General features: G+C 37.3%; 1 protein-coding gene across 1 annotated transcript in view; it reads left to right on the top strand.

Moving 5' to 3' along the window:
• PALMD (palmdelphin) overlaps window positions 1–13,629 on the top strand; it is a 48,423-nt gene that overhangs the window by 9,948 nt on the left and 24,846 nt on the right. The window contains exons 2-3 of the mRNA NM_017734.5: window positions 6,259–6,339; window positions 11,582–11,706. Of these exons, the coding sequence (NP_060204.1) occupies window positions 6,259–6,339; window positions 11,582–11,706 (206 nt within the window). The remainder of the gene's footprint in view (window positions 1–6,258; window positions 6,340–11,581; window positions 11,707–13,629) is intronic.

Here is a 13,629-nt window from a genome sequence, read left to right on the forward strand (position 1 = left end):
TTATCTTTATTCTTGGTTGTGTGAGCTTATTGGGAAACTCTCAGTGATAGCAAATGATTTGGTTTTATTTTTTTAAATAGTAGCTCTCTTTTCTTCTTACCCGACATCATTTTTAATTTTGTGTCCATGTTTCCATTCGTAAATTGCCCATGCCTTATAATCTATCTTCCCTCTTGAAATTTTTGCTCCATTTTCAATAATTTTTTTAAGAATGTTTCTCAAGAATGGTAAAATATACTTTTACTGAAATCTGGTAAACTTCTAATTATGCCCTGGATTCTTTCCTAAGAACACTGTTAGCACGTCTCTTTTTTTTCAAAGTTACCATTATTTGCACACCACCAACTCTGCATTGTTGGTAGTACTTAAATTCAAATAAGCAGTTTCCGCTAGTGTTCTTTTCAGACCTAAGCAATGAAAATATCAGCAAAGCTAATCATGAAGTTATAAGATTATCAGCTTCTAGAAAAATGAATCTGAAAACATTCAACTATTTTAATTCTTCAATCATTGCACTAACTTGCCCCTTCCAATTGTTTCAATTGGTTTAGAAAAAACACCTATACCCTCTTTCTAGTCAAGTATATGATGGCTTCTGTTTTTCTTTACTTTTATCCTTGCCTAAATGCCCACAACCATGCTTTTCTTTTGTAGAGTTAGTGAGAACTAAAAAGAGCCCAGGACTGAGAATTAAGAAGATCTTCTTACTAGTCTTGGCCCTGCTACTAAATACCTTTCTAAGCAAGCCACTTAACCTCTTAAGGTTTCAAACTCTAATATGTAAAATGAAGCATTTGGACCGTAGGATCACTAGATCTCTCACAACTTGCAATATCATGACTCAGTGGTTGCCCTTTGTGCTCCCCGCAATCTGTTTATTTGAAATAACACGGTTCATTCATTGCTCCTTTCAGTTATGTGGCCAAATTCACCAAGTCCTATTACAAATAATATCAGACTGATCCAAAATAAACTTCCATGTGGGTTCCCCTTCTCCTATACCCATTAAATGTAGGTGCTTCATGGAGGCTCTCCTTAGCCTCCTTTTCTTTTCATAAAAAATGTCTCTCATCATGCTCTCATCTATCCCTTTCAAAACTCACACATCTTTATCTCTAGCTCTGATTCTTCATCTCTCTCCATCCAACATTCCAACTGCCTAGCAGATAATTCTACCTATTTGGCCCAAGGACATCTCAAACTTGGCGAATCCATCATCTTTTTTTCCAAACTCTTCCTTCTCCTGATACTCCTCTGTCTATGCGTCATTCTGCTCTCTCGTCAGTTTCCTGAACATAAGAGCCTGCATTCCATCTGACACTTTCCTTTTCCTCAATGATATGTCATCAGTTGCCAAGTCCTGACAATTCTAACTCCTTGCTAACTCTGACATCCCTGCCCTCTGCTCCTTCTTGTTCAAGCTCTCATGGCCTTATGTATGAGTTGTGCAGTGGCCTAACTGAGTGTCCTCTTCGTGTTCTCTCCTTTCCATAGCTATTACACAATGAGGCCATATTCAACTTCTGAAAACATGCTTTTAACTCTATCATTCTTCTTCCCCTGAAAACTTTTTATTGCTCCTTATCTCAATATGTAAATAAATTCTGAACCCTTTGTCATGCCATTCAGTATTAGCTACTGAAAATCTATCCTCACCTGGTTGTTCTTAACTTCCTGCCACTCCCTATATGGTAACTTAGATTCCAGACTTGCTGTTCTAAGTAATGTCCCACATTTTTTAGAATTTGTTCACATCAAGCCCTTGACTTGAATGCCCTTTCTCCATACTCCCCAGCCTCACTGTAACTACCCAAAATATTCCACTCAGATGCTACTCCAAAGCTTCTGTTAATGACATCAGCTAGGAACAACCTCTCCCTGTCTCCCCTCAACCTGCATCATACATTACTAATGCCTTAGCGATAACATGTATTACTACTAAAGTTGTTATTACATGTTGGCTGGCACAGTGGCTCAAGCCTGTAATCCCAGCACTTTGGGAGGCCAAGGCGAGCGGATCACTTGAGCCCAGGATTTCAAGATCAGCCTGGCCAACATGGCAAAACTCCATCATCTCTACTAAAAATACAAAAATTACCCGGGCATGGTGGGGCATGCCTGTAACCTCATCTACTTGGGAGGCTTAGGCACAAGAATCACTTGAGACCAGGAGGCAGAGGTTGTAGTGAGTTAAGATTGTGCCACTACACTCCAGCCTAGATGATGGTGCAAGACTCTGTCTCAAAAAAAAAAAAAAAGAAAAAAGAAAAACTATTACATGTAATAACTTTATTTCTCAGACTATAGTTACTTACACAAATGACTTTCTTTAGCCAAGGTAGGAGGATTGCTTGAGCTCAGGAGTTTGAGACCAGCCTGGGCAACACAGAAAGACCTTGTCTCTCTTAAAAATAAAAATAAAAAATATAGGCCGGGCACGGTGGCTCATGCCTGTAATCCCAGCACTTTGGGAGGCTGAGGCAGGCGGATCACGAGGTCAGGAGATCGAGACCATCCTGACTAACACAGTGAAACCCCGTCTCTACTAAAAATACAAAAAATTAACCGCGTGTGGTGGCGGGCGCCTGTAGTCCCAGCTACTTGGGAGGCTGAGGCAGGAGAATGGCGTGAATCTGGGAGGCGGAGCTTGCAGTGAGCTGAGATCCCACCATTGCACTCCAGCCTGGGTGACAGAGCAAGACTCCATCTCAAAAAAAAAATTAAAAAATAAAAAATATAGCCAGGTGTGGTGACATGCATCTGTAGTCCCAGCTACTTGAGAGGCTGAGGCAGGAGGATGATTTGAGCCTGGGAAATTGAAACTTCAGTGAGCTATGATTATGCCACTGCACTCCAGCCTCGGTGACAGAGTGAGACGCTGTCTCAAAAAAAAAAAAAAGAATGTAAACTCACATCTGTCAAATAATTTTTAAACACTGCACAACTCCTAATATCATCTTGAATATAGCATTTGCACATAAGTAGCTAAGTATTGAATAAATCAATAATCAAACAACTCAGGATCAATTCTGCCTTCCTGACAGGACTAGGCATATTAGAATTTAGCACATTGTTAATCAATAATATAACTAAAATACTTACTTATACTCTTAAGCATTGTGCTGACTTTTATCAAATATGTGATTGTGTTAATATCATTGGATCATATTAATAGATGGTCACAATAACTATAGTTGTACAAGGCGAATAAATTAATTTTCAAAATAATTAAGAGATAACCTTTAACAGGTTGAAATTTCTGGGCGTCAGTTGCTAAAATAGGCTGTCAGATGGCTAAAAATCTAGGTAAATGTCCATTGAACAAAAAGTCAAGGTAGTTGGACATTGAGAAATAAGCAACAATATGTTATTCATAATGGTTACATTAATAACCAGTAATGTCTGATGTGCCAGGTTGCAACAGCTATCTATAGAAGTGCTCCAGGTTCTGGGGAAATTTAGGGAAGCAGGTGGCATTTCACATTTATTTGCTCCAATGAAAAACTGGGAAGAAATTAGCTGACTATGATAACTTTTGGTATACTAGCAATCGAGCTAGATAAACATCTTAAGGTTGACTTATAGTTTATTCTGCTATACTGAAACTAAGTTATTGTCATATTATTTTTCATTAATGCTAACAGAGTTCAATGAAATTTGGCAAAGGAACAATAACTCTGCTGATGAATATCTTATGAGGAAAAAGTATGCCTATCTTAAAATAGGATCATGCCTATAAACATTATGAAATTTCCTTCCTACCTACCTAGACTGATATAAGAGAGGCATCATATTACCCCTGAGTGACAAAACATTAGTATTCCCTAGCAACCCTTGTATAAGCCTGGTGTTGCCAAAACACTTCGGATGGCATGCCTCTACTCACAGATTCAATTGCCTGATTACTAACCCCAAGATGAAACTAGCCCAAATGGCAAACCAGCCCAAACTGGCAATGAGCAGGGGTGGGGAGGCATTGCTGGGTTCAGCAATCCTGTCCACCCCACAAAACATGCTCTTCTCTATGGGCTTTTCACGGAGAGCTAGCTGCAGCACCAGCATCTAGGGAGCTAAAAATGTGCTCCCTGCTAATGAGAGGTCACACTCAGTGCTTGTTGTCCTAGTGCTGCCTCCTGGCCACAGTACTTCATGAGGGAGAAGAAAAAGGAAGAAACTGTGACCAGCTTGATTAACTTTCCACTCCAGGGAATGGCACAGTGAATTGGCTAGGAGTGTGGAGGCTGACTTCAGACTGCCTGGGTTCAAATCCTGGCTCCGACAATTGTCAGATGAAACTTGGATGAGTTAATTTCCCCTAAATTTCCATTTCCTTTTTTCAAATGGAAATTAGCATAGTATCTCTTTGTTATGACAAGTATTAAGTAAAATTGTGCCTGAAAAATATTGCCAAAATGTTTGGCACAATGAATTTAAAGTACAATTAATATTTGCTCAAATAACAACCTCTAGAGAGAGTGAAGAATTGACTCACAGAGGCTTTCAGAGTTTTTGTTACTAATGGCCAGATTTCATCCAAAGAAAGAAGTGATTCTCAAGATCCATGCCTGTTGCCTAGCTATTTTTTTTTTCAAAAGAAATACTTACGAAATTTTAAAAGTAAGCTGATATAGCCTGAGTCACATAGTGAGACCCTGTCTCAACAAAACACCAAAAAATTATCCAGGCATGGTAGTATGCGCCTGTAGTCCCAGTTACTCAGGAAGCTAAGGCAGGAGGATTGTTTGAGCCCAGGATGTCAAGGCTACAGTGAGCCATGATTGTGCCACTGCACTCCAGCCTGGGCAACAAACAACAGAATAAGACCTTATCTCAATAATAAAAATAATAAGCTGATGAAGTCATATATTCTCCTTACATGCAAAGAGAAACACAGCATACAGTTGGAGAGCAATATGTTGCTTTTCTTCAACAAATGTACCTGAAATTACACATCAAAAAAGAGTTTTTATCTTCAAAATAGTCACATCAGGGAACCCATGCACTTATATATCAATAATGCACTTACATCAATAATGCTGCCAAACATTTTTGGATCTCCTTCTTCTAAATTACCTTTACAGCTTACTTCTTTTGGATGTCTTCATTGGCAACAAAATTTTATCCTTTGGGAGTTTTTAATTTTGAAAGCAGATTTAAAACCAACACTTATGAATAAGATGGAGAAGAATGTCACCTCTGATCAAAAATGAGGAAATAAAGACCTTTTTGCATAACTAGTCAAATGTCTCAAACAATTCCAGGGAATCTCTAAAACATTTCAAGCTAATGAAAGCACTGTCAGATTTAATGTGTTGCTTTCTATGTGATTAACAAGTTATATATTTATTTATTTAATGTTATTAAATACCTCTAGAGCACTGTGACGAGTACTGTTCTAGAAACTTTTACATATATCAGTTATTTAGTGCTCACATCTTATGAAGTAGGTGCTCTCAGTATCCTCGTTTTACAGATGAGGTCATTGAGGCACAGAGAAGTTAAGGATTTTGTCCCAAGACACAGAGCTAGTAAGTGGAGGAGGCAAAAGTCAAACCCAGGCTGTCTACTTAGTATATTTGCTATATTTTCTTAAAAGTACAACCTTTTTGTATCAGTAGTTATGCTTTCTGGGTTGTCCGAGGTAATGTAATTTAAACTTGGTGAAAGATACAACATATCTTCATGAGTTTTGTTTTACCTGAGCTAAAAGCCTTCTTAGTGTTAAGAAGCACTATCTAAACTATTTTCCTCTATCTTCCCATAGCAGGCTATGCAAGGAGGAAACAGTCCCAATTTCCAACTTCCTAGTTTTCTAACGATCCATAGGTTGACCTGTTTTTCCACATAAGGAGTCCTTTCACCCAGAGGCTTCTTCAACCTTGGACCAGGATCAGTCTCTCTTCTCACGATGTTTCCTCACACCTATTTCACAACTTGTCTCTTTACAATTCACTTTTTCTATTACATCACTCAGTAGGTCAATCTTGCTAGACTAATGGGGAAGAAGGAAAAGGGGAGTGAAGAAGGATGTTTAAGCCCTCTTTGAAAAAGTGCCTTTTCATATTCTTTCCCATAAGGAAAATGCTTCAAATGTCTCACTTCGCTCTCCTTTGCTTTGAAATAGGAGTTTCCAAAGCAGCTTCACACCAATGCCAAAAAAATATCAGTAACGGGCCATTCAGATAGTGACAACAACCCCAAGGAAACATAATTAAGCAAATTTTAAAAATAAAATATACTGGAACTTTTTTATTTCAGGATAAAAGAAAAATACAGGAAGAAATCTCACAGAAGCGTCTGAAAATAGAGGAAGACAAACTAAAGCACCAGCATTTGAAGGTAATTTATGGCTTTAATTTCATTTCAATGATTTTGTATTCAAAAATTCTATTGGTACTCAAATTTCAATAGTAAAAAAGCTTTAGGAAAGAAAAAAATTTCAAGATAGTTTGACTAACATTGTAATAACCATAGGGGAGGCCAACAAGCTAGTAACATTTGCATATGAGATTAATACCTTCTAGCAAACATGTGCAAAGTTGAACACATGGTTTTATTACTTTTATCCTTTATAACTGAGTTTCCCAATTTTCTTGAGCAACCTTGAGAATTCAGCCTTGAGAATTTGGCCCTGCTCGCAGTCTTGCTTAACATCCCTAGGGAGTGGATCCAGCTAGGAAGTGCCTTTTGAAATCAATGAAAGGCCAGTCATTCCCCCGGGGGTGCAGAACAGTGTCTGGCCTGGTCAAGGATGCTTGTATTTAAAAGTTCAGTGCAATGAGTCCAATGTTGTTTGAGTATGCTTCGGGTTTTTGTTTTATTTTGTTTTGACAGAACATGAGATCATAACCAGAAATAACTTTCCATGTTTAAAATCAGATTTTACATCTTTCACTGGGTGTGGCCATTTTGTAATTAAAGCACATTGAGTTTCAACATTTTATTACTTAGCTTAGTGACAGGATGCAAGCAAATAACAAACAGCAGCTCCTTGTGAAAAGGCCCAAGCAGGAAACTACTTATCTGACAGGGCTGCTATCAATAGATTTAATGAATCCCCTTAATGATACAAAGCTGCACACTCAAGGGGTCTACAAATTTAAGTTAAACTTGCTGAATGCAACTGACTTCATTTTTCTAATGGAACAAGTACCTGCCTCTGAAAAAAAACATAATTTAAGATTCCAATTAGCCTCATTCTCTGGATTCTGTTTGCTTCTTTGCTTCTAAACAAGTTGACATTTCCGATGTTTGATGGATAATTTCAAAGCACAGTTAGTCTGCTCCCCTTCCAATATGTCACATTGAATTTACATGAGTAGTATACATAGTCAAGAAATGTAGTGTGTACTCCTAGGAAATCAATGAAATTTAAAAAAAAAAAGTTCCAAGTTGTTCCAGTGCAATTCAAATGAAGTCAACAGTCAAATCTAGAAAGTTTTTTAGATAGGCCATTTCTCACTCCAAAACCAGAGGTCATTTGCTCTCCTTTCCTCTCTCTCTCTCTCACACACACACACTTGCACAATTTACACACACACAATCACACACACAATACACACAATCTGGATCTCCCAATGAACTACTTCCTGCCTCTGAGTAAAATGATAGCTCTCTAGCTATCCTTGAGAATGGGCAATTGTTATCCTTGCAGAATGGGTAGCCACAAAACAGTGGAGCTCACAGTAGAAGAGAAGATTTAAATATCCCCTTAGTTCGTTCTAGAAGTAAGTTTCGCATGAGAAGCCTGACTCACTGAAAGGTCCATTTCTGAAGTAGCACCTCATTCCAGCACTTGCCAAAAACAGTCTGGAAAGTAGTAGATGATCTTCCTTATTGGTTTGCTCTCCAGAACACAGGAGACCTCTCCTGATCCAATCCAATCAAAACATTTATCATGTTTTGGACTGCCATATACAGTTGTGCAGATTGTGTACTGCACAAAGGTACCTGAAATGATGGTGCTAAAATCTTGTCCACATTCCTTTGCCAGTCGTGCACTCTGGTTCAGGGATGCTTATACCTGGAGCAAAAGGTTTCAATTTTCTCTGCACAAAAGTGCTATCCACTTTCCCAAGCTGTTCACTGGAAAAAAGGGGTGTGTGTGGCATGGAGCAGGGCTAGGAGTTGGGGGAAATGACACATTGTCCTAATTTGGGAAATTCAAGATTAAATAAACAAGATAAATGATAGTTGTTTTAATTTAAACTACAGTATAATTATTCTTTAATCTGGGATGGTCAAGAAGGCACTATTAAAGGTATGGGATTCAAGCTGAGTCTTAACTGGTAAGTAGAATTTATATGGATGTATATAGGGCCTTTAGTCAATAAATATTTATTAAGTACATATTATGTACAAGCTATGAAGCTAGACACTAAGAATATAAAACAAGTGAAATTTGGCCTGCGTCCTTAAGATGGTAACTGATACATAAACTCATAATAACAGTTATTCTGTGATAAACACTGTATGGGAGGCATAAACTGCACAGGGCACAGAGAAGAAAGAGTGGCTATTTCAGTAGAGCACATTCTTCCAAGTTTTGCAAAAAATAGTTGTCTATACCAAACAGCAACAAGGCATAATTCCAAAATGGGGTTCAAAATGTGCAAAAGTATTTTTTAAAATAATTCTACAATGTCTTCACCAAATTAAAAAGCTCTGTTGGCCTCTATAGCCTGTCTCTTATTTTCTTCATCCATTCGTCCTAGTCTTCATGACTATCCTCTCCACTTTCCTGATTGCAAACTAGTTCACTATACTTCAGTGACACACATTAAACAACATAAGCATAAACATTTACAAAGTGTTCCTCCTACATCAGAATACACACATTTCAAAATAGTTGTAGTAACTCCCTCTGATATTCTTTAGCTCCTGAACCTGATGATCATTCTCATAATGTGCTAGCAAGGGAATTTCTGGGACATTTTTTACATCTTAATATTCAAACTACTCATACAGAGATTTTTTTTCTGTATGGATCTTCTTGCCTAGTAATATGATCACAATCTCATGTTACCAGGAAACACAAAATACAGTCAATCTGAAAAATTTTTGATTTCCATGAGTCCGTTCAATTCAATCTACAAAAAACCAATTTATTCCTACTCTACTGTAACTTCTGGGTAGATATAGAAGTGCTCAGGAAAACCTTTTCCTAAAAAAACTGCAGAAAGACCTATCACCTGCATGTCACATATTTTCATTTAGTTCATATGGCTTTCAATTCTGAATTTCATTGTAAAGTAGATTTTATTATACTCATTAGCCTCATCCACTAAAGCACAAGTCTAAACTGTGACATAAAAGCAAAATAACTCTTTTGATTACTACAGTATATATGTGATTGCATCATATATCATTTTGATTGCACATCCAAATTGCATATTTTATATTTAAGTTCAAAGAGTTCTCCACGAGGCATAAATGAAAATTTATGAAGTATGAACAAAGTTTTACAAGACTAAAATTAAAATTATTTCTAACTAGACTAAAAACCAAGAATATAGCCCCAAGTTAACCTAATCACATCACAAGAATGATTCGCTACTCTCTATAATTCAGCCTCATAAGACCACCCCATCTGAGTGTTTCTTATATAGCTATGTGTGTCATTGGCTGGAACTTTCCTTATAGGTGGTTTGTAAGGAGTAAAACTTACTTCTATAGGTGTTACTGTCTTCTTTCCTATGCATTAGCTAAAATTCCATTAGATAAAAATAAATTAGAATCAAAGTAAATTATTAAAATGCTGCTATATTCAGAGTTTCTTAGCATCTTTGACCCCAGGAGCTGAATCTTGACCAATGTTAATCATATTTACTGGGTCTGCAGGAAAACATTTTTGCAAACAGCTAAACAGCTATAATAAATGGTTAAGATAACACTGGGGTAAAGAATCTCTGGCCACAGAATGGAGTAATACAAATTGCTCTTGTGATGTATATCGTCCACATGCAGTTGCTTAAGATTCTGAAAAGGCCAGTACAAATGTGATGATCTGGGGTGAAGCTGTTATTTACTAAATCTAGTGGTTTTCAAACCATGTTCTGTGTATCCATAAGCTTTCAGGCCCCTTCACTTCTTCAATTAGAGCAGTCCAGAATTCATCTGTTTTCCAAACTATAGTTCCATATAACATTTGTTTGTAATGTTGTAAGTTATAATGTTATATTGGTTTTTTTTTTAAGAAAAAAAGATTTAAAAGTCATTGCCTCAGTAAAAAATAATCATCCTTTGGTAATTATCTATCACAACTAAACTTAATTTTAAATGTTTTCTTAATTCAGAGATACTTGTATCTCAGTGGTATCAGTAAAAAATAATCATCCTTTGGCAATTATCTATCACAACTAAACTTAATTTTAAATGTTTTCTTAATTCAGAGATACTTGTATCTCAGTGGTATTTATTCTAGCATCCTTAAAAAAACACACCCACACACAAACACACAAAGTTATTCTTACTTACTCTCATTTAAATTTCAATATAAGAGAAAGAAGTCCCAGAAAATAAAGTTCCCATTCTCTCCTCACAGATTTTAAATATAGTGAATCCCCAATGAATAATTAACAATGAATAACTGAACAAATAATTGATAGGGCAGATTGGATACATAATGAGAGCCCTTTTATTCCAGGAGAAAAAGAGAAACTTGAGCTCCTTGAAAATAACATGACCATACATCTGATGCTTCCCACTTGAGATGTAGACTACATGCTAATTAAAGCCCATCCAAAATTTACAGGTCTTTTTCATTTGTTTTAAGTCTTCTTAGGTCTTTAAACTCCAGGTCCAGGCGTTTAATTTCCTCATGCAAATTCAAGAGGAGTTTTTGTTTTTTCCATCTGGTGAAATGTAATTTTTTGTGTGTTGTTAAAGTTGACAAAAACTCACCAACATTTAGACAGATCAGTAAATTTTGCGCTTAAGAATGTCTATAACCAGGGAGATTCTGAGAAGAAAGAAGGGGAGCTAAGTAGGCAAAACAATAAACAGCTGCCACACAGCCTAAGAATAACACTGAATATGTTTAAGTTACAACAGCAACCTTCTGTTTTGCCCACCATTCCAATTAATCCCACTAAAGATTTTTTTAAAGCAGTCATTGCATGCTCTCACCAGGGGGAATATCAAAATAGCTTCAAGAAGCTTTTGACTTTGTTTAGGACACAAGATATATACCCATCAATAACAGATGACACTAAAGACATCATATTATGAGGTCCCATTATGACTGTGATAAACACACAGTATGGCATGGTTCTGAAGACAGAAAGTGAGGGTCAGGATGGGGCTGCCAGGAGTATGGGGGCCAGGGATCTTCATGCCAAAGGAGAGACCCAAACTAAACCTTGAAGTATAAATGGGATTTAGATGCATAAAACCTGGCTTTGAATACAGTCAAGAAGGTTACAATGAAAGAAAATACCAGATTTATTCAGGCAAGGCACTGACAGAAAATAATTCCTCTTTAACGTGTCACCTATTGAAATTCATAAGATTTGAAAGCAGTAAGAGATTTTGGAAATTATTGACCAATATAAGAACATATCTTTATGTTTCCTGACATCAGAAAAAGGCCTTGAGGGAGAAATGGCTTCTAGATGGAATCAGCAGCGGAAAAGAACAGGAAGAGATGAAGAAGCAAAATCAACAAGACCAGCACCAGATCCAGGTTCTAGAACAAAGTATCCTCAGGTATGGCCCTCACTGAGATACTCCACAACTACCTTTATTTTGACTTTATCCCATGTTGTGCATAGACATGCCATTCTCACTTTCAGGGGCATAATCAAATCTTCCATTTGAATTTCTTTTTTTTTTTTTTAAGGCACGCTTTCACACTGTCACCCAGGCTGGAGTGCAGTGACATGATCTCGGCTCACGGCAACTTCCACTCCCAGGGCTCAAGCAATTCTCCAGCCTCAGCCTCCTGAGTAGCTAGGATGATGGGCACCCACAACCAATGCTTGGCTAATTTTTGTATTTTTGTAGAGACAGGGTTTCACCATGTTGCCCTGGCTGGTCTAGAACTCCTGAGCTCAAAGTGATGCACCTGCCTCGGCCTCCCGATGTACAGGTGTGAGCCACCATGGTCAGCCTTCCATATGAATTTCTAAAAAAGGGATTACAGGTGTCAGCCACCGCGGTCAGCCTTCCATATGAATTTCTAAAAAAGACTAGGGAAACACACCAAAAGGCCACAGTAGAAATTTTACTATAAGTATCACCTGAGTATAGCAACACTAGATTTATTTTTAAGTGCATATTGATGACTTACTCATACCTCTCTGAGCCTATTTCCTGCAGAATGGTAGTAACAATGCCTAACTTTTAAAAAATACATGCACTAAACTACCAGCACCTACCTAGCACATGGTAGGTACACAAACAAAAGTCCTTCTTCACAGCCCCAGCCCCTACTCTCACCTTAGGACAGGTGACAAGTCTACAGGTGTGTTTACCCGGTCCTTCCATCATATTTCTCTCAGGCACCCTCCCCAGTCACAACCATGATATTGGAAAGAAGGTTCTATAGGAATACTCTACTCACAGTTTCCCTCTTCTAGTTCTTTGATGATTTGGTCACAGGCGTTCACTTCATTTCTCAACATCCTTTCCTGCTTATTTTGTGAGATCAGTACAGTCAGGCAACTGCTGGTGTAAGAAGTAATGTTCTAAAATTATCTTGGCTTGAAATAAGGTGATGGACAAGAAAAAACTGGAAAGCTCAAATGTAAGATGGGATTATTAGTATTATCACATGCAAAAAAGCACAAAAGAAACAGATACGGGAAAGGCCAGAATCATTTTCTAACCTACAAAGGGAAAATATTTAAAAGATGGAATTTCTTGTGTTATAATCACGACAACAAATTAAAGTCTACCCATCTTTGAATATAGACGACTTTCAAAACCTCATTCGCTATAATGTATTGCCTTTAGTGAGGACTGTAGAAAAGATCTGAAACACAAAAGTATTTGGTATCTGTGCTACGACCGCATTTTGTCCATACTCACTGCACTATACAAACAGATCTCATTAGGCTTAAGACTGACAACATGAAGAAAGTCTTCCTCTCTTCAAATGATTTCCATTTTACTTGATTAATTACATGCACTTGTATATTGAATAGCTAAAATAACTGACTGTTCATCCTTATCTAGATGTTTTTGAAATTAACAATTCTTAAAAGGTTATATAATTGAAATGTTTGCATTTATAAACCCCTCAGTTATTTACTCAAAGATTTGAAGTGCTTCTAAATAGTGGATAATAAATACTTTAAAAATAACCCAATAAATCAACTCTATAGTTTGGAAAACTCAATTCTTATCAAGGCATCCCTTAGCAAGACATTCTCACCAAGATCCCGGCATAAGTGGGTGATTACTTTCTTTATTCCTCAACACAGAACCCTTATCTCTGAAGGAGTCCTGAATTTAATCCCCGTAAACCTTTCCCACTGCACAGACACCTACTTGCTTCCCCTCAAAACCTCCTTTTAGAGTCTTTCCACACACTGAACACCTACAACTTTCTCTGCATCTGATGATAATTGAAGTGGCTACATATACTCAAACTCCATTAACAGGCTTGGGCAGCATTCTGAGTAATCC

The sequence above is a fragment of the Homo sapiens genome, chromosome 1, assembly GCF_000001405.40.
Source record: "Homo sapiens chromosome 1, GRCh38.p14 Primary Assembly".
Lineage (NCBI taxonomy): Eukaryota > Metazoa > Chordata > Mammalia > Primates > Hominidae > Homo > Homo sapiens.